The sequence below is a fragment of the Homo sapiens genome, chromosome 1 (assembly GCF_000001405.40).
Source record: "Homo sapiens chromosome 1, GRCh38.p14 Primary Assembly".
NCBI classification, from domain to species: domain Eukaryota; kingdom Metazoa; phylum Chordata; class Mammalia; order Primates; family Hominidae; genus Homo; species Homo sapiens.
Genome location: NC_000001.11, coordinates 3,797,311 through 3,815,594, shown reverse-complemented (window position 1 = coordinate 3,815,594; position 18,284 = coordinate 3,797,311). Strand labels below are relative to the sequence as shown.

Here is an 18,284-nt window from a genome sequence, read left to right as displayed (position 1 = left end):
TCTGTGGCCACAGGTTCTGCACCTGGTCCGTGGGTAGGAGTGCCCCTCCTAATGCAGGTCCTGTGCTTGCTCTGCAGGGAAAAGCTCAGCTGTGGCCGCATCAGGCCCCTTGGGGTCAAAGGCCGGAAGCAAGATCCCCACCCCGAAGGGCGGACTGAGCAAGAGCTCCAGCAGGACGTACGCCAAGCGCTGACGCGGCGCTCGGGCTCCTTGGTCTCTGTGAGGGATGGAGCGGGTCTCCTGATTCTACACCATCTCTCCAGAACTCTCTGGCCTTGGTGGCCCCATGCTCTGGCTGCTGTCCCCAGCTCCCCGCCGTGCACGCCTCTTACGCGTCTGTGCCGTCAGCTCTCGTGCAAACGATATGGATGCAGCTAACCAAAGATCCTGCGTGCAGTGCCAGGACCTGGCCGCACTGTACATTAAGCCTTCAGGGCTGTCTCAGGCCTTCCTTAGAATCAGAGAAGGAAGCGTCCTGTTTGGAGAGAGCCAGAGAGCACCGCCGGGAGGCGCTCGCGCAAGGCCACGGTCAGCACAGGCACGGTCCCGCTTTCCTTAGTGCTTGGAGCAATTTCCATAAAACATTCACCAGAAACCTTTTGCACATCGGTCTCTGCCACACGCAGTAGAATTTCCGCAGGGCTGTGGCTCGGCCAGCAGCGGTTCCAGGAGAGTGGCGGTGCGCACGGGCCTCCAGCCGTGCCTTCCCCCTGCAGGCCCCGTCTGCTGGGCCTGCTGCCCAGTGCACTCAGCCCCAGGTAGCAGAACTCACGTTCCCACTATAGCAAGAAATAAAGGCAAAAGAGAACATCTTTTTTTTAATCGTAGTTTTTTTGAGAATTGGTCCCACCTCAGCCGCACCTTGCTGGATGCTTCTCCAGTAGTGCTGCCCCTGTGACAGGCATCAGCTCCCTGCTGGAACTGAGGTAGACACAGGTGTGGGCCCTTCCCGTGCCTTTGCTCAGAGGCGCTTCACTTTCTCCACACTTTCGAATTCCTAAAGACATGTGGAGGAAGTCACTGTTAAATGAATTTCCACCTGATCACCCTGTGTTCACAGCAGGCAGAAGCCCACTGGTATGGGCCTCCCGCCCCTTCCACATCCATGTTGTGATTGGATCCATAAGTTTACTTTCTTCAAAGAGTTGATAGGATGTTTAAAACATCAACACATTGCTTAAAATGATGAAACCAACCCTCAAAAAACAGTCTCCTAACCAGCCATCCCCTCCTGTGGGAGTGAGCTGGGGGTTTTGTCCATAGCTTTGGTTGGGCCTGTGTCACATCCAGGCAGCCATGTGGAGGGAGTCAGGGTCTGTCTGGAAGCATCCACCCTCTCGCTGCCCCAGCCTGTGCTCCCAGGGGCCTAGGCTACCATGGACTGAAGGGCAGTCCCCTCCCACCTGGTGCCCAGGGCTTCTGCTTGCCTCGCTGATGTTGCATGGGCAGACTTCAAAAAGGATAGTTAGAAAGGTTTGGGTTGATGGAGTTTGCATTAATGCAATTAGTGTATAAATATGTTTTAATTGCCAACCGTGTGAAACAACAAAATATCTAAAAACTAATCCCGATTTGAACAATGTACTCCCTGGCCTGGATACATTAATAACCATAAATTTGCATGAATTAATCTCCACGTTTGGTAAACTAATACCTCTGGTTGACTGAGAATACTGAGTAAGATATAAGACCTACCAGGAACCTTTAAGAATATGCTCTGCTCAGTGTTGTTTGTCTGCTTGTTTGCGACGGAGTCTCACTGTGTCGCCCGGGCTGCAGTGCAATGGCGTGATCTTGGCTCACAGTAACCTCCACCTCCTGGGTTCAAGCAATTCTCCTGCCTCAGCCTCCCTAGTAGCTGGGATTACAGGTGCACACCACCATGCTCGGCTAATTTTTTCTATTTTTAGTAGAGATGGGGTTTCACCATGTTGGCCAGGCTGGTCTCGAACTCGTGACCTCATAATCTGCCCACCTTGGCCTCCCAAAGTGCTGGGATTACAGGCGTGAGCCACCACGCCCAGGTTAAATGTGTTTATAAGGAGAGAGGAGGCCAGGCGCGGTGGCTCACGCTGTAATCCCAGCACTTTGGGAGGCCGAGGCGGGCGGACCACCTGAGGTCAGGAGTTCGAGACCAGCCTGGCCAACATGGTGAAACCCCATCTCTACTAAAAATACAAAAATGAGCCAGGCGTGGTGGCCTGTAGTCCCAGCTACTTGAGAGGCTGAGGCAGGAAAATTGCTTGAACCCGGGAGGTGGAGGTTGCATTGAGCCCACATCATGCCATTGCACTCCAGCCCAGGCGACAGAGCGAGACTCCGTCTCGAAAAAAAAAAAAAGTATAAGGAGAGAAATAACTTTAAAGTTTATTAGACAAAACAGAGTATAGATGCCAAGATGTCTGTAAAATGATTTTTTCTGGTTTTAAAGAGATGTTGGCCATTATTTTCTAATCCATTTTTAAAATACAGACAAAACACTTCTTTAAACAGAACAAGAATGAGAAAAGTTAACCAAGGAATTATTCTTTTCTCACCAATCAACACTTTTAAGAAATATATATATATATATACACACATATACACATGCCTTCTATATATTGTAACTTAAAGAAAATACTTATAAAAAGACTTCATTTTTAGTGATTGACAAGCAAACGGGTTCATTTAAAACAGGTTCCTCTTTTGTTAGTTACAGGGGGTTTTTTTGTTGTTTTTTTGTTTTTGTTTTTGTTTTGCGGGGGTGGTGGGGTTTGAGACGGAGTCTTGCTCTGTTGCCTAGGCTGGAGTGCAGTGGCGCGATCTTGGCCCCCTGCAACCTCCGCCTCCCGGGTTCGAGCAATTCTCCTGCCTCAGCCTCCCGAGTAGCTGGGATTACAGGCGTGTGTCACCACGCCTGGCTAATTTTTTTGTATTTTTAGTAGAGACGGGGTTTCACCATATTGGCCAGGCTGGTCTCAAACTCCTGACCTTGTGATCCACCCACCTCGGCCTCCCAAAGTGCTGGAATTACAGGCATGAGCCACCGCGCCCGGCCCAATCATGTGTTTTTGTTGAAATGATCCTACCAGTGATTAGTGGCTATTGAGAGTTTTACAGGGTTATACATTGTTAAGGGACCAAGAATCAAGTACAAAAAATTAAAAAGGAACTGTAAAATCCCTTGGTCATTCATAAATAAATATCTAAATTAGGAATACTAATTAATTGAATTTTCACTCATGAGTATGTTCTGAATATTTAATATTTATTTCTATTATTTTCATATGTTAAGATATTCCATTAAATCTAACTTAAAAGAATTGTATGTATAAATTGGCATTAGGATACAAATGTAAATGTTTTTAATGAAATTTTGCAACTTTTTAATATTTTAACATAGTTTTCTATTTGTCTTTATTTCAAGTACCAGAATTACAAAATATCTAAGTAATATATTTTTGTTGTCGTTTTAGGGCTTAAGGGTTAATTCACCCAGAGTATATTAATATAATAAAAAGATCACTAAATGTTTTGTCACTTTATTTCAACATTACAATTAAAAAGTAATTTGTCAATTACATTTACTTTAATAAACATGGAAGTGTAGCCCAGCCCTGAAACCTTAGAAAGTAGATTGAAAATTGCTGAAAAAAGACACGGCAAATATGAAGTTGCCCTGAGGGTTTGGTCCCTAGAATAAGTAATTTGTCAAAACAAGTTCACTGCTGAAGAAACTGGACAATTTGAAGCCACATGGAGATTAGAGAAAATGATTGACCAGTTTCATCCTGTGGAATAAATTCAGAATGTTCTCTAAGTTCTCTAATTGTGCCCAGTAGAGGATTATACTTTCTAGTCTCTTCATGGGTTTTCCCCCCTTTGAAAGAGGGATTTTACCAGCCCTCAAGGCTGTTTTGCTTTTCAACTAAGCACTGTACGGTGGTCACCTGCCTACTGCCCAGGAAAGCCGGGGGCAGTGGCTGTGGCACCCTTGATTGGAAAGCTGGGTGGGCTGAGCCGTGGGAGGAGGGTAATGGCCAGGGCTCGGGCAGTGAGCCTGTGAGCCTACCCTGCGGGGAGGTGTGGCCTTAGACTACCCAGCGGGACGGAGGCGGGTCCGCGGAATCCTCACCACAACCATGCAAGGCCGGTGTTGTCATCCTCAACAACAGAGTAGAGAGTTAGCGGTCAGGCACACACAGCCACAGCTGCAGGACAAAGCTGCCCCCGCTGCCCTCTGACTGCAGGGAGGAAGGTGCTGGTCCAGAGGAACCTTGGCACTCTCTGGATCTTGAAAATAGTATGGGGGATCCTGACTCCACTGATGGATCAGTTACCAGGGAGTGTTTGACCACAGCTTGCCGCTGCCTCAGTTTCCTCACCTGTAAAATGGAACTGAGGGTCCCTTTGCTGTGCACTGAAGAGGACACACACTCTAGGCACTTTCCAGCCCTCTGCACAGCTGGCCTCAGGGTGTCAGGCACCTGCCCCTAAATGGGGAGCACTTCTGAGGGTCAGCTGAGGTGGGGCCCAGCCAGCAGAGGGCAGTGGGCAGCCCGAAGGCAGGGGAGCCCCCACTGCCCACCCACCCAGCTGCAAACTCCCACCAGAGCATCTTCCAAACTCTGCTGTTCCCAGGGCATCCGTGCTTCCTGAGAATGAAGCCCTGGAGCAGGGCCAGGCAGGGGAACTTTTTTTTTTTTTTTGAGACGGAGTCTCACTCTGTCACCCAGGCTGGAGTGCAGTGGTGCAATCTCGGCTCACTGCAACCTCCGCCTCCCGGGTTCAAGGGATTCTCCTGCCTCAGCCTCCCAAGTAGCTGGGACTACAGGCACCTGCCACCACACCTGGCTAATTTTTGTAATTTTAGTAGAGACAGGGTTTTACTATATTGGCCAGGCTGGTCTCGAACTCCCAACCTCAGGTGATCCACCCACCTCGGCTTCCCAAAGTGCTGGGATTACAGGCGTGAGCCACTACGCCCAGCCTGGACCTTTTTTTTTTAATTCCAGAGACAGGGTCTCACTCTGTTGCCCAGGCTGGAGTGCAGTGGTGCTACCATGACTCACTGCAGTCTCCAACTCCAGGGCTCAAGCCATCTTCCCACGTCAGTCTCCTGAGTAGCTGGGACTACAGGCACAAGCCACCACCCCCAGCTAATTTTTGTATATATATGTATAGTAGAGGTGGGTTCTCACCATGTTGCCCAGGCCCCCCACAAACTATTTGATCACCAACATCAGTGTCCTCAGCAACCCATTTGCCTCTGTAATGTGGATTTCACACCTCCTGTGTTGTGGCAGACTGCTGTTACTACTTGAGACCATCATTATGAGACTGAAGGAAGAGGGACAAACATAGAAATGAAAACTTAAAACAAAAGTAACTATTTTAACGGAAGGGTAACACGGGGAAGAAGAAGAGAGCTCCCTGCTTCTAGTGAGCAAAGGCACCGCCCGAGCTTCCACAGCCCTTCCTATTTATTGGGTAGCAGGAGGAGGGAGGAGGAGGTAACGATCGGTCAGCTGCTTAATTGATCACAGGTTCATATTGTTACTAACAGGCTTCAGATGTACCTAATCACAAGAAACACTGTGCTTGAGGCGTGACTGCCCTCAGCATTCCTTCTAGGTGGCAGACGCAGTTTGTTTGCCAACATTCTGCATGTATGAGAAACAGTTTGCTGTTTACTCACGTCGCCTCCAGTGGTATACTGAGTTGATCATGACCCTCACTCTTTCAGCGTGCAACACTGTGTTACTCTAGGTAGCAGCGTCAGGCAGCATTCTGTTTCCTGGTGCTGGGAGGTGAATGTGCCCCACAAATTCACAGGCTGGAAACTCACTGCCCGGTGCAACAGTATAGACAGGTGGGGCCTGACCATAGGCCCTGCCCTCATGGTTGGATTTGTGCAACAATAAAAGGACTTGGGGCCAGACACAGTGGCTCACACCTATAAACCCAGCCTTTGGGAGACCGAGATGAGAGGATCACCGGCGTCCAGGAGTTCAAGACCAACCTGGGCAACAAAGAGAGACCCCATCTCTACAAAAAATATAAAATTAGCTGGGCATGGTGGCATGTGCCTGTAGTGCCACCTATTTGGGTAGCAGAGGCAGGAGGATCACATGAGCCCTGGAGGTCAAGGCTGAAGTGAGCCATGATCATGCCAGTGCACTCAGCCTGGGTGACAGAGTGAGACCCTGTCTCAAAAAAAAAAAGTGGGCCGGGCGCAGTGGCTCATGCCTGTAATCCCAGCACTTTGCGAGGCCAAGGCAGGCAGATCACCTGAGGTCGGGAGTTCGAGACTAGCCTGACCAACATGGAGAAACCCCGTCTCTACTAAAAATACAAAATTAGCCAGGCGTGGTGGCACATGCCTGTAATCTCAGCTACTTGGGAGGCTGAGGCAGGAGAATCACTTGAACCCGGGAGGTGGAGGTTGCGGTGAGCCGCGATCGTGCCATTGCACTCCAGCCTGGGCAACAAGAGTGAAACTCCATCTCAAAAAAAAAAGTGGGTGGGGGGTCTTGGGTGTGGGATCCCCCTCCACCTTCCACCCTGTGAGGACACAGCCTGCCTTCCCTCTCTCCCTCCAGAGGATGCTTGGACTCCCAGCCTCCACGGCTGTTAGAAAGAAACCTCTGCTTTCTATAAATTACCCTGTCTCAGGTATTTTGTTATAACAAGCAGACTAAGACACCTGATCCTCTTTGTTTATTATTGTTTGAGATTGGGTCTTGCTCTGTCATCCAGACTGCAGTGCAGTGGTGTGATCTCAGCTGGTTGCAACCTTCAACCTCCTGGGCTCAACTGATCCTCCTGCCTCAGCCTCCTCAGTAGCTGGAACTACAGGCACATGCCACCACACCCAGCTAATTTTTACATTTTTGTACAGGGGAATCTCACTATGTTGCCCAGGCTGGTCTGGAACTCCTGAGCTCAACTGATCCTCCCACCTCAGCCTCCCAAAGTGCTGGGATTACAGGTGTGAGCTACTACACCCCCTGAGTGGTCCTGTCTAAAATGCATCCAGTGGCCAGGCATGGTGGCTCACACCTGTAATCCCAGCACTTTGGGAGGCCAAGGCAGGCAGATTACTTGCGGTCAGGAGTTCGAGACCAGCCTAGGCAACATGGTGAACCCCTGTCTCTAGTAAAAATACAAAAATCAGTCAGGTGTGGTGGCAGGTGTCAGTAATCCCAGCTAGTTGGAGGCTGAGGCAGGAGAATTGCTTGAACCCAGGAGGTGGAGGTTGCAACGAGCCAGGATTGCGCCACTACACTCCAGCCTGGATGACAGAGTGAGACTCCATCTCAAAAAAAAAAAAGTGTCCAGTGCTGGGAGTTGCCCCATAAGAAGAGAGTGGCTGGTGCTCAGTGGAGGTGCTCAAGCTAAGGGTGCCCTGTCCCCTGACCCTAGCCACCCTGACCTTGGCTTCTCAGCTGTCTCCTCAACTCTGGGAGTCTGCTGGGCTCTGCCACCCAGGCTGGAGTGCAGTGGTGAGTTTGATATGGTTTGGATCTGTGTCCCTGCCCACATCTCATAATGAAATGTAATCCTCAGTGTTGGAGGAGGGGCCTGGTAGTAGGTGACTGGATCATGGGGGCGGATTTCTCATGAAGAGGTTAGCACCATCCGCTTGGTCCTGTCCTGATAACAGAGAGTTATCTGCTTGTTTGAAAGTGTGTGGCACCTCCCCCTCACTCTCTAGCTCCTGCTTCGCCTCCGCCCTGAGTAAAAGCTCCCTGATGCCTCCCCAAGAAGATGCTCATGGCCATACTTCCTCCACAGCCTGTAGAACGTTGAGCCAATCAAACCTCTTTATAAATTACCCAGTCTCAGCCAGGCACAGTGGCTCACACCTGTAATCCCAGCACTTTGGGAGGCTGAGGCGGGCTGATCACAAGGTCAGGAGATCGAGACCATCCTGGCTAACACGGTGAAACCCGATTTCTACTAAAAATACAAAAAAAAAAAAAAAAATTATCCGGGCATGGTGGCAGGCACCTGTAGTCCCAGCTACTCAGGAGGCTGAGGCAGGAGAATGGCATGAACCCAGGAGGTGGAGCTTGCAGTGAGCCGAGATCGCGCCACTGCACTCCAGCCTGGGCGACAGAGCGAGACTCTGTCTCAAAAAATAAATAAATAAATAAATAAATAAATAAAAATAAATTACCCAGTCTCAGGTAATTGCCCTTTACAAACCTTATCACAACCTACACTGACCATCTACAACATGTTTGGACTTTCTGACGTGTCTGATACTTCTCTCTTTTCTAGTCATTTTACTTTAGGATAAGAATTTACCACATAATATCCTTTCTTATATAAAATTATTTTATTTTCTTCATATCCTTACCAAAAATACATCTTCATAGCCAAAACTTGTTTTATTACTCTCTCCCCTACCTATTAGTTTCTTTTTATCTTTCTTCATAAATAACTTTTAAACAACTTTCAAATTACATAAAATTATTTTTTCTCTCAATAACACAATTTACAGAATTATATATTAATTAGAATTCCTATTCTTAGTAACCTTAAATTTTAGTGAAAACCCAGGAAGCAAGAAATCTTGAACTATCAGATGTTATTTTGTAAATGAAACAATTCCATAATTTTTAGAAACACATTTTCCCATAGCACAGTCTTTTCTGAATTGGAAATGACCCAGACATCTGTGGGCAGCAAGCCATCCAGGTGCCGAGACAAGAGACCAAGGGCACGAGCTATTCCAGTATAATAAAATATATAAAACAACAAGAGTTATACTAGATCTAGATCACAGACATGATTATATATGAATATCATTAATCATTAGTTTGTAGCAATTGCTCTTTATTCCAATATTATAATAATCCTTGCTCTATAATCATAACCTAGGAAAAACCAGGCCATACAGAGATGGGGGCTGAGGGGACATGGTGAGAAGTGACCAGAAGACGATAGTGCGAGCCTTCTGTTATGCCCAGACAGGGTCACCAGAGGGCTCCTTGGTCTAGCGGTAACACCAGCGTCTGGGAAGATGCCCGTTGCCAGGCAGACCGTGGTCTAGCAGTAGCATCAGTGTCAAGGAAAAACACCTGCTACTTAGGAGTCTCCCTTTCCCTGGGGGAGTTTAGAGAAGACTCTGCTCCTCCACCTCTTGTGGAGGGCCTGACATCAGTTAGGCTCGCCCGCAGTTATCCGGAGGCCTAACCGTCTCCCTGTGATGCTGTGCTTCAGTGGTCACGCTCCTAGTCCGCCTTCATGTTCCATCCTGCACACCTGGCTTTGCCTTTTAGATAACAGTAGCAAATTAGTGAAAGTACTAAAAGTCTATGATAAGCAGAAATAATGGCGTAAGCTGTCTCTCTCTCTCTCTCCCCCTCTCTCTCTGCCTCGGCTGCCAGGCAGGAAAGGGCCCCCTGTCCAGTGGACATGTGACCCACATGACCTTACCTATCATTGGAGATGACTCACACTCTTTACCCTGTCCCTTTTGGTTTGTATCCAATAAATAACAGTGCAGCCAGGCATTCGGGGCCACTACCGGTCTCCGCGTCTTGGTGGTGGTGGTCCCCCAGGCCCAGCTGTCTTTTCTTTTTATCTCTTTGTCTTGTGTCTTTATTTCTACAATCTCTCATCTCCGCACATGGGGAGCAGAACGCACCAACACTGTGGGGCTGGTCCCTACATCCGGCGCTCCAACGTGGGGCTCTCTCTCGCTGTGTGAAGTTGCACCCTGAGTGTGGGATTCAGCAGAGGATTTTGACCAGAGATTCCTGAGGATTGTGGTCAGTAAGCTTGGTGGTAAGCTAGAGCACTCAGAGTATTCCGGGGACACCATGGGACAAGCCAGTACTAAGTACTCAGCTTATTTAAGCTTTATAAAAACCCTCCTGTTTTATCTCAACCCTGTCCCTGTTCAGCCCTGCTGTAGGGGTCTCAACCTTCTGCCTGTTCCGCCCGGTAATGAGGCCCTCAACCCTATCCCTCCATAGCCTGGTTTTCTCATGCCTGTTTCCTTTCCTCCTAATCAGACTCGGTTAGAGTCACAGGCTCCCTTGAAACCTGGTTCCTTTCCTACTAATCCGACTCCCCTGGAGTCACAGACTCCTTTGAAGCCTGGTCCGCAGTTGCCACAGCAGCCTGAATTTCAGGCCCATGAAGGACGTGCTCGGCAGGTAATCTCGTCTACCCTTGCTGCTCACAAGCAACAAGTTACATAGATTCCTCAAAATGACACTCCTCTTATGAGGGCTATAGCACAGGCAAGAAAATATGGGGATCCCAACGCCTGGCAATTTCCTGTAATTTTACAACCTCCAATACCTGCCGTCCCTGCGGCACAAAATCAGCCACAGCCTGCTGATCTTACTCAGCAGGCAGCTGATCTCGCGGCACCTTCACGCTCCGTGTTAATATCTTGTTTTTCTGCAGGACAACAAACAGTTGCAGCAGCCGGTTTGGTTACTGCGCCCCCTCCACAAAAAAAAAATCCAGACTTCTTCTCCTTATCACTATTTAGCAATGCAGCTAGAAGTCAGGTTATTAAGCCCAAAAAAATCATTGTTCCCCTCACCCGATTAGAAGTTCAACAGGCTTTTGCAACCTGTATCACTTGGCAAGTACACTTGGCAGGTTTCTCGGGTATAATTGACAATCACTATCCTAATGTAAAATTATTTCAGTTCCTTAAACTCACTTCTTGGATTTTACCTAACATTACTAGAAACACCCCATTAGCTGAAGCTGTCACTGTTTTTACTGATGCTTCCTGTAATGGCCGAGCAGCATATACAGGTCCCAGAGAACGTGTTCTTAACACAGGGGCTATTTCAGCACAACGAGCTGAACTGCCTGCTGTTATGACCGTCTTTGAAGATTTCCCTGAACCAGTTAACATTGTCTCTGACTCAGCGTATGTAGTACATGTTGCTCGCAACATTGAAACTGCCTTAATCCAATTTCTGCCCGATGATAACCTATTCTTTCTTTTTCAAAGGTTTCAGTCTGTGCCCAGAGCAAGGTCTTCTCCTTTCTACATTGCTCACATTCGGGCCCACACACCCCTCCCCAGACCCCTCTCGGCAGCAAATGCCAGAGCTCATACATTAGTTCCTCCCGTTTTTACAGATGCAGAAAATTTTCATGCTTTAACACCTGTCAATGCTGCAGGACTCCGGAAAAAGTTCCCCTTACATGGAAACAAGCTAAAACCATTGTTCGTCACCGTCCTACTTGCCAAGTGTTAATCTTACAGCCACTTTCCTCAGGAGTTAACCCTAGAGGACTTTCACAGAATGCTCTCTGGCAAATGGACGTGACTCATTATCCTGCTTTTGGCAAGCTTTCTTTTATACATGTAACTATCGACACTTTTTCTCATTTTATCTGGGCCACTTGTCACGCAGGGGAAAGTACAGCTCATGGTAAACGACATATGCGTTCCTGTTTCTCCGTTATGGGCTGTCCCGAGAAACTGAAAACTGATAACAGCCCCAGCTACACTAGTGCTGCTTTTAAAAAGTTCACTGAGACGTGGGCAATTGCTCACACAACCAGCATCCCCTGTAACTCTCGAGGACAGGCCTCGGTGGAACGAGCCAATAAAACACTGAAAGGTCAACTTCGAAAGCAGGACATAAAACAAAGGGGGATGGCACCACACCTCATGCTCAGTTAAACCTGCCTCTTTTTACACGAGCTTTCTTACACCCAGCAAGAAACCAAACTTTACAGCCACAGAACCACATGTCACTGGAAATAAATTTGATCCACAAAAACGAATGCGGGTATGGTGAAAGGACGCAAAAACTAACAAATGGGAATTAGACAGAGTCATAACTTGGGCTAGGGCTTTCGCTTGTGTTTCCCCAGGAAAAGGACAACAACCCGCGTGGGTTCCCTCCCAGCGACTGAAATTGCATTATAACTCCAAGGATGAGGCACTCTGAGAAACAAAAGGACTGCCAGCCTGCTCCAAGAAACCTACAAAGGGGCCTTTTTTCTTTTTTTAACTAAATTCAATCTTATGAAATGATTCTAATACTCCGAAGGCCATACTGTTCCAAACCCTACCTACGGGTGTTGTTATTGACTGGGCTCCAAAAGGGCATTATTGGCGAAATTGCTCCACCCAAAATACAAAATGCTCGGAGTTTAACTATTTGTTAGATTATATAGAGGATGGGCCGGGCACAGTGGCTCATGCCTGTAATCCCAGCACTTTGGGAGGCCGAGGCGGGTGGATCACAAGGTCAGGAGATCAAGATCATCCTGGCTAACACAGTGAAAACCCGTCTCTACTAAAAAACAAAAAATTAGCTGGGCGTGGTGGCAGGCGCCTGTAGTCCCAGCTACTCGGGAGGCTGAGGTAGGAGAATGGCGTAAACCCAGGAGGCAGAGCTTGCAGTGAGCCAAGATCGCGCCACTGCACTCCAGCCTGGGCAACAAAGCAAGACTCCATCTCAAAAAAAAAAAGAAAGAAAAGAAAAAAGATCATATAGAGGATGGATGGCAGTCATACAGGTTGAGACAATGGGTGTCTCCTTACCCATTTAAATGGATGGACGCAGGCATTGTTCCCCCTACACCAAAAATGATTCATCCCATTGTTACCCCAGAACATCCTGAATTATGGAAATTGCTGCAGCTATGACAGGAATAAGGATACGGAACACTACCTATCAACTCCTTCACACTAATACCAAAACACACACATTCAACATCACCTTGATATCTGAACAGGTGATACCCATCAGGAGCTGTGTCAAACCCCCTTACATGCTGTTGGTTGGAAATATAATTATCATTCCCAGTACACAAACTGTAGAATGTGATAACTGTCAGCTGTTCACATGCATTGATGCTACTTTCATTCCCACTACAAGTATTCTCTTGGTACGGGCTAGGGAGGAGGTATGGATACCAGTTTCTCTACATCGTCCTTGGGAGTCTTCCCCCTCTATTCACATAGTCAATGAAGTTCTTAAAGTTATCCTCAAAAGAACAAAGAGATTTATTTTTACTCTTATTGCCGTCATTGCAGGTCTAATTGCAGTTACTGCAGCAGCAGCAGCTGCTGGAGTTGCCATCTACAATTATGTTCAAACCGCTCAATATGTTAAAGCACGGCAGAAAAACTCCTCCGGACTTTGGAATTCTCAGGCTCAAATTGATAAAAAATTAGCCAATCAAATTAATGATCTCCGTCAAAGTGTAATGTGGCTCAGAGACAGAGTTATGAATTTGGAACACCTTATGCAATTACAGTGTGATTGGAATACTTCTGACTATTGCATAATGCCTTATGCTTATAATAAAGGTCAACATAGCTGGGAAAAGGTCTCAAGACATTTAAAAGCCTGGGATGATAACTTAACCTTGGATATTTCAAAACTTAAAGAGCAAATTTTTGAGGCTTCACAAGCTCATTCATCCACTGTTCCTGGCTCAGACATTTTTGAAGGAATAACTAAAGAATTATCTGATCTTAATCCCTTTAAATGGATCAAACCCCTTGGAGGATCATTGTTGTCACTGGCATTATTAGTATTGGTATGCTTATGTTGTCTCCGTTTAGTCTGCAGATGCCTCCAAGGAGTCCGAAAACAAGTCCGAAGTCAATGACAAGCAATGATGGCGATGGTGATCCTAGTTAATATAAAGGGGGGAGATGTGGGCAGCAAGCCACCCAGGTGCCGAGGCAAGAGACTGAGGGCACGAGCTGTTCCAGTATAATAAAATATATAAAACAACAAGAGTTATGCTAGATCTAGATCATAGACATGATTATATATGAATATCATTAATCATTAGTTTGTAGCAATTACTCTTTATTCCAATATTATAATAATCCTCGCTCTATAATCATAACCTAGGAAAAAGCAGGCCATATAGAGATGGGAGCTGAGGGGACATGGTGAGAAGTGACCAGAAGACAAGTGCGAGCCTTCTGTTATGCCCGGACAGGGCCACCAGAGGGCTCCTTGGTCTAGCGGTAACACCAGCGTCTGGGAAGATGCCCGTTGCCAAGCAGACCGTGGTCTAGTGGTAGCGTCAGTGTCAAGGAAAAACACCTGCTACTTAGCAGACCGGGAAAGGGAGTCTCCCTTTCCCCGGGGGAGTTTAGAGAAGACTCTACTCCTCCACCTGCATCTGTAAAAACGGGAGTAACTAATGTATCAGCTCTAGCATTTGCTGCGAGAGGGGTCCGGGGAGGGGTGTGTGGGCCCAAATGTGAGTAATGTAGAAAGGAGAAGACCTTGCTCTGGGCACAGACTGAAACCTTTGAAAAAGAAAGAATAGGTCATCATCAGGCAGAAATTGGATTAAGGCAGTTTCAATTGTTGTGAGCAACATGTAGTACCTACGCTGAATCAGAGACAATGTTAACTGGTTCAGGGAAATCTTCAAGGACGGTCATAACAGCACAAATCTCATCTTGAATTGTACTCCCATAATTCCCACAGGTTGTGGGAGGGAGAAGGTGGGAGGTAATTTGAATCATGGGGGCAGTTTCCCCCACACCGTTCTCAAGGTAGTGAATAAGTCTCATGAGATCTGATGGTTTTATCAGGGGTTTCTGCTTTTGCATCTTCTTCATTTTCTCTTGCCACCGCCTTGTAAGAAGTGCCTTTCACCTCCCGTCATGATTCTGAGGCCTCCCCAGCCATGTGGAACTGTAAGCCCAATTAAACCTCTTTTTCTTCTTAGTCTCAGGTATGTTTTTATCAGCAGTGTGAAAATGTACAAATACACCTAGTGAGGAGAGGGGCAGCCTATCTTGCTACTTTCTGACAACCAGATGGACCTAGTCTTGGCCATTGGGATGCAGACTGTGCCTAAGCACCCTCAGAGGGGGGTGCAACACTAAACAGAGACACAAACACAAATAGATCCAATGTAGACACAGCCCTCCAAACAGATCCCTCCAAACAGAGGGGAGATTGGAGCAAAGTCCTGAGGTCCTGTCCCAGACCCAGACAGCACCATGGAGTGACCTGCGTTAGGTCCAGATGGCACAGAGACCCAGGCAGCACCACAGAGTGACCTGCGTTAGGTCCAGATGGCACAGAGACCCAGGCGGCACCACAGAGTGACCTGTGTTAGGTCCAGATGGCACAGAGACCCAGGCGGCACCACAGAGCGACCTGCGTTAGGTCGAGATGGCACAGAGACCCAGGCGGCACCACAGAGTTACCTGCGTTAGGTCCAGATGGCACAGAGACCCAGGTGGCACCACAGACTACCAATACTAGCTCTAGACAGCTAGAGCCCCAGATGGCAGATGCAGAGGATTTCCAGGTGCACTTCAGTTCACATCCCACATACTGCTTCCCTCCCACCAGCAGAGCATGAGAGATGCTGATGTCATGAAGGAGAGGGAAGGGAAAATCCCCAAGACAAAGGCAGTCTCGGCAGCCACTAGGAATTCCCTAAGGTCCTAGCCTTGGGGTCAGCTGGCCATGAGCAGCTGGCATTTTCAAGCAGCTGCTGTCCTGCCTGACAGCAAGAGTGGGTAAATCCTGGGACTGCTGTGGCCAATCTCTGCCTTCATTGGAAACCAGGTACACAGGCTGAGCCACTCACAACACAGTGCCTCACACAAGGCACCAGATCTGCAACCAGCTCAAGCGTGGCTGCTCAAAGACCAAAAACATGAGAAGCGAGGTGTGGTGGAAGGAAAGCCGTTTATTAAACAAATGCCAGCCGATGGGACATGGCTGGGCTCATGCCTCCAAGAGACCCTCTGTCTTCTGGGCTGAGTGAGAGGTTTTGGAAGGAAAACTTGGTGTGGGAAACATGTGGGGGTGGTGCAGGAGGATGCAGAAGGGTGCAAGGGGGTGCAGGGGGGTGCAGGGCTGCATGTCTTGTTCCGAAGGTGATCTCGAGTAACACCCTGTCTGAAGGTCCAGCTTGCATCATCCTGACTTTGGCCCAGTAGTGGTGGGCTCACTCTTCCTAACTGCCCCAGAGCAGTAGGATCCACATCTGGGTCTCTGAGCCTGGTTTCCTTCAAAATTAGCCCCTGGAAGTTCTTTTTTTTTTTTTTTTTTTTTTTTTTTTTTTTTTGAGATGGAGCCTCCCTCTGTTGCCCAGGCTGGAGTGTAATGGTGCAATTTCAGCTCAGTGCAACTTCTGCCTCCTGGGTTGAAGCTCCTGCCCTAGCCTCCAAGTAGCTGGGATCACGGGCGCCCACCACCCCACCTGGCTAATTTTTGTATTTTTAGTTAAGACGGGGTTTCACCATGTTGGCCAGGCTGGTCTTGAACTCCTGACCTCAGGTGATCCGCCTGCCTCAGCCTCCCAAAGTGTTGGGATTACAGGAGTGAGCCACCGCGCCCGGCCTGTAAATGGTTTTTGTTTTTTTCTTTGTTTATTTATTTATTATCAGAGTTGATTCTCTCCTGGATCAGGAAAAAGGCCTAGCAAAGCAAGGATACTATCTTCAGAATGTGGATTTCCCCCACAATAGGCAGCCTTGCAGGATTGTTTTAAGATACAGCAAGGAAATATAATTTGGGGTAAAATACTTCAATTTCCTTCAGGGCCTTGATCAGTCACATAATGCTCTACTAGAAACAGGCTAGAATTTGGTATCATTGCTACAAAGAGTCAGCTTTGTCAGTCTTTTATTGTTGTTGTTATTTTGAGATGGAGTCTCGCTCTGTCACCCAGGCTGGAATGCAGTGGTGCAATCTTGGCTCACTGCAACCTCCGCCTCCTAGGTTTAAGCAATTCTCCTGCCTCAGCCTCCCGAGTAGCTTGGATTACAGGCGCCCGCCACCATGCCCAGCTAATTTTTGTATTTTTAGTAGGGATGGGTTTTCACCATGTTGGTCAGGCTGGTCTCAAACTCCTGACCTCAAGTGATCCACCCGCCATGGCCTCTCAAAGTGCTGGGATTACAGCCATGAGCCACCACACCTGGCCTGGCTTTGTCAGTCTTAAAGTCTGTGTTGATATTAATGATGGTCAGGTGGGCCTGAATTCCCAAAGGGAGGAGAATATAATGAGGCATGTCCAACCCCTACCCCTCCACATCCGACCCTTCCCATCATGGCCTGAACTAGTTTTTCAGATTAACTAGGGAATGCCCTTGGCCCAGAGGAGGGGTCCACTCAGATGGTTGGGGGGCTTAGAATTTTATTTTATTTTTATTTATTTATTTTGAGACGGAGTCTCACTCTGTCGCCCAGGCTGGAGTGCAGTGGCGCAATCTCCGCTCACTGCAAGCTCCGCCCTCTGGGTTCTTGCCATTCTCCTGCCTCAGCCTCCCGAGTAGCTGGGACTACAGGCGCCTGCCACCAAGCCCGGCTAATTTTTTTTGTATTTTTAGTAGAGACGGGGTTTCACCGTGTTCACCAGGATGGTCTCGATCTCCTGACCTGGTGATCCGCCCGCCTCGGCCTTCCAAAGTGCTGGGATTACAGGCATGAGCCACCGTGCCCAGCCTCTAGAATTTTATTTTTTGGCCAGGTTTGGTGACTCACACCTGTAATCCTAGCAATTTGGGAGGTTGAGGCAGGTGGATTGCTTGAGTTCATGGGTTTGAGACCAGCCTAGGCAACATGGCAAAACCCCAGCTCTACAAAAAATACAAAAATTAGCCAGGCGTGGTGGCACATGCCTGTGGTACCAGCTACTCAGGGGCTGAGGTGGGAGGATCACTGGAGCCAGGGAAGTTGAGGCTGCAATGAGCCGAGCTGGAACCACTGCACTCCAGCCTGGGTAACAGAGCAAGACTCTGTCTCAATAAATAAATAAATAAATAAATAAGAATTTGGGGGCTGGGTGCGGTGGCTTGTGCCTGTGAGCCCAGCACTTTGGGGGGCTGAGGCGAGCAGATCACCTGAGGTCAGGTGTTCGAGACCAGCCTGGCCAACATGGCGAAAACCGGTTAATATAAAAATTATATTAACACGGTTAATATAAAAATTAACCGGCCACGGTGGCATGCACCTGTAGTTCCAGCGGGAGGCTGAGGCAGGAGAATTGCTTGAACCCAGGAGGCGGAGGTTGCAGTGAACCAAGATAGCATCACTGCACTCCAGCCTGGGTGACAGAGCGAGACTCCGTCTCAAGAAAAAAAAAAGAATTTTGGTTTTGGTTTACACCACTCAAAAGTGCAGGAATTCCAAAACAAGCCGGTCGGGGCACAGTAGAGCACAGACTCTGGCTCCTCCATCCGCCCGCACCCCACCCTGTGAAAGGAAAATAAATCTCAAAACCCCACAATCACTAAGTCAAAGGAAAAAGTCAAGCTGGGAACTGCTTCGGGCAAATCGGCCTCCCGTCTTATTCCTAAATAA

At 48.0% G+C, this 18,284-nt stretch overlaps 1 protein-coding gene across 8 annotated transcripts in view; it reads left to right on the top strand.

Annotated features, from left to right (window-relative positions):
* Positions 1-3,509, top strand: part of CEP104 (centrosomal protein 104) — a 45,126-nt gene extending 41,617 nt beyond the window's left edge. For all 8 annotated transcript variants that reach the window (NM_014704.4, XM_047435158.1, XM_047435161.1 and 5 more), the window contains one exon: positions 78-3,509. In NM_014704.4, the coding sequence (NP_055519.1) occupies positions 78-193 (116 nt within the window). In that variant the 3' untranslated portion in view covers positions 194-3,509. The remainder of the gene's footprint in view (positions 1-77) is intronic.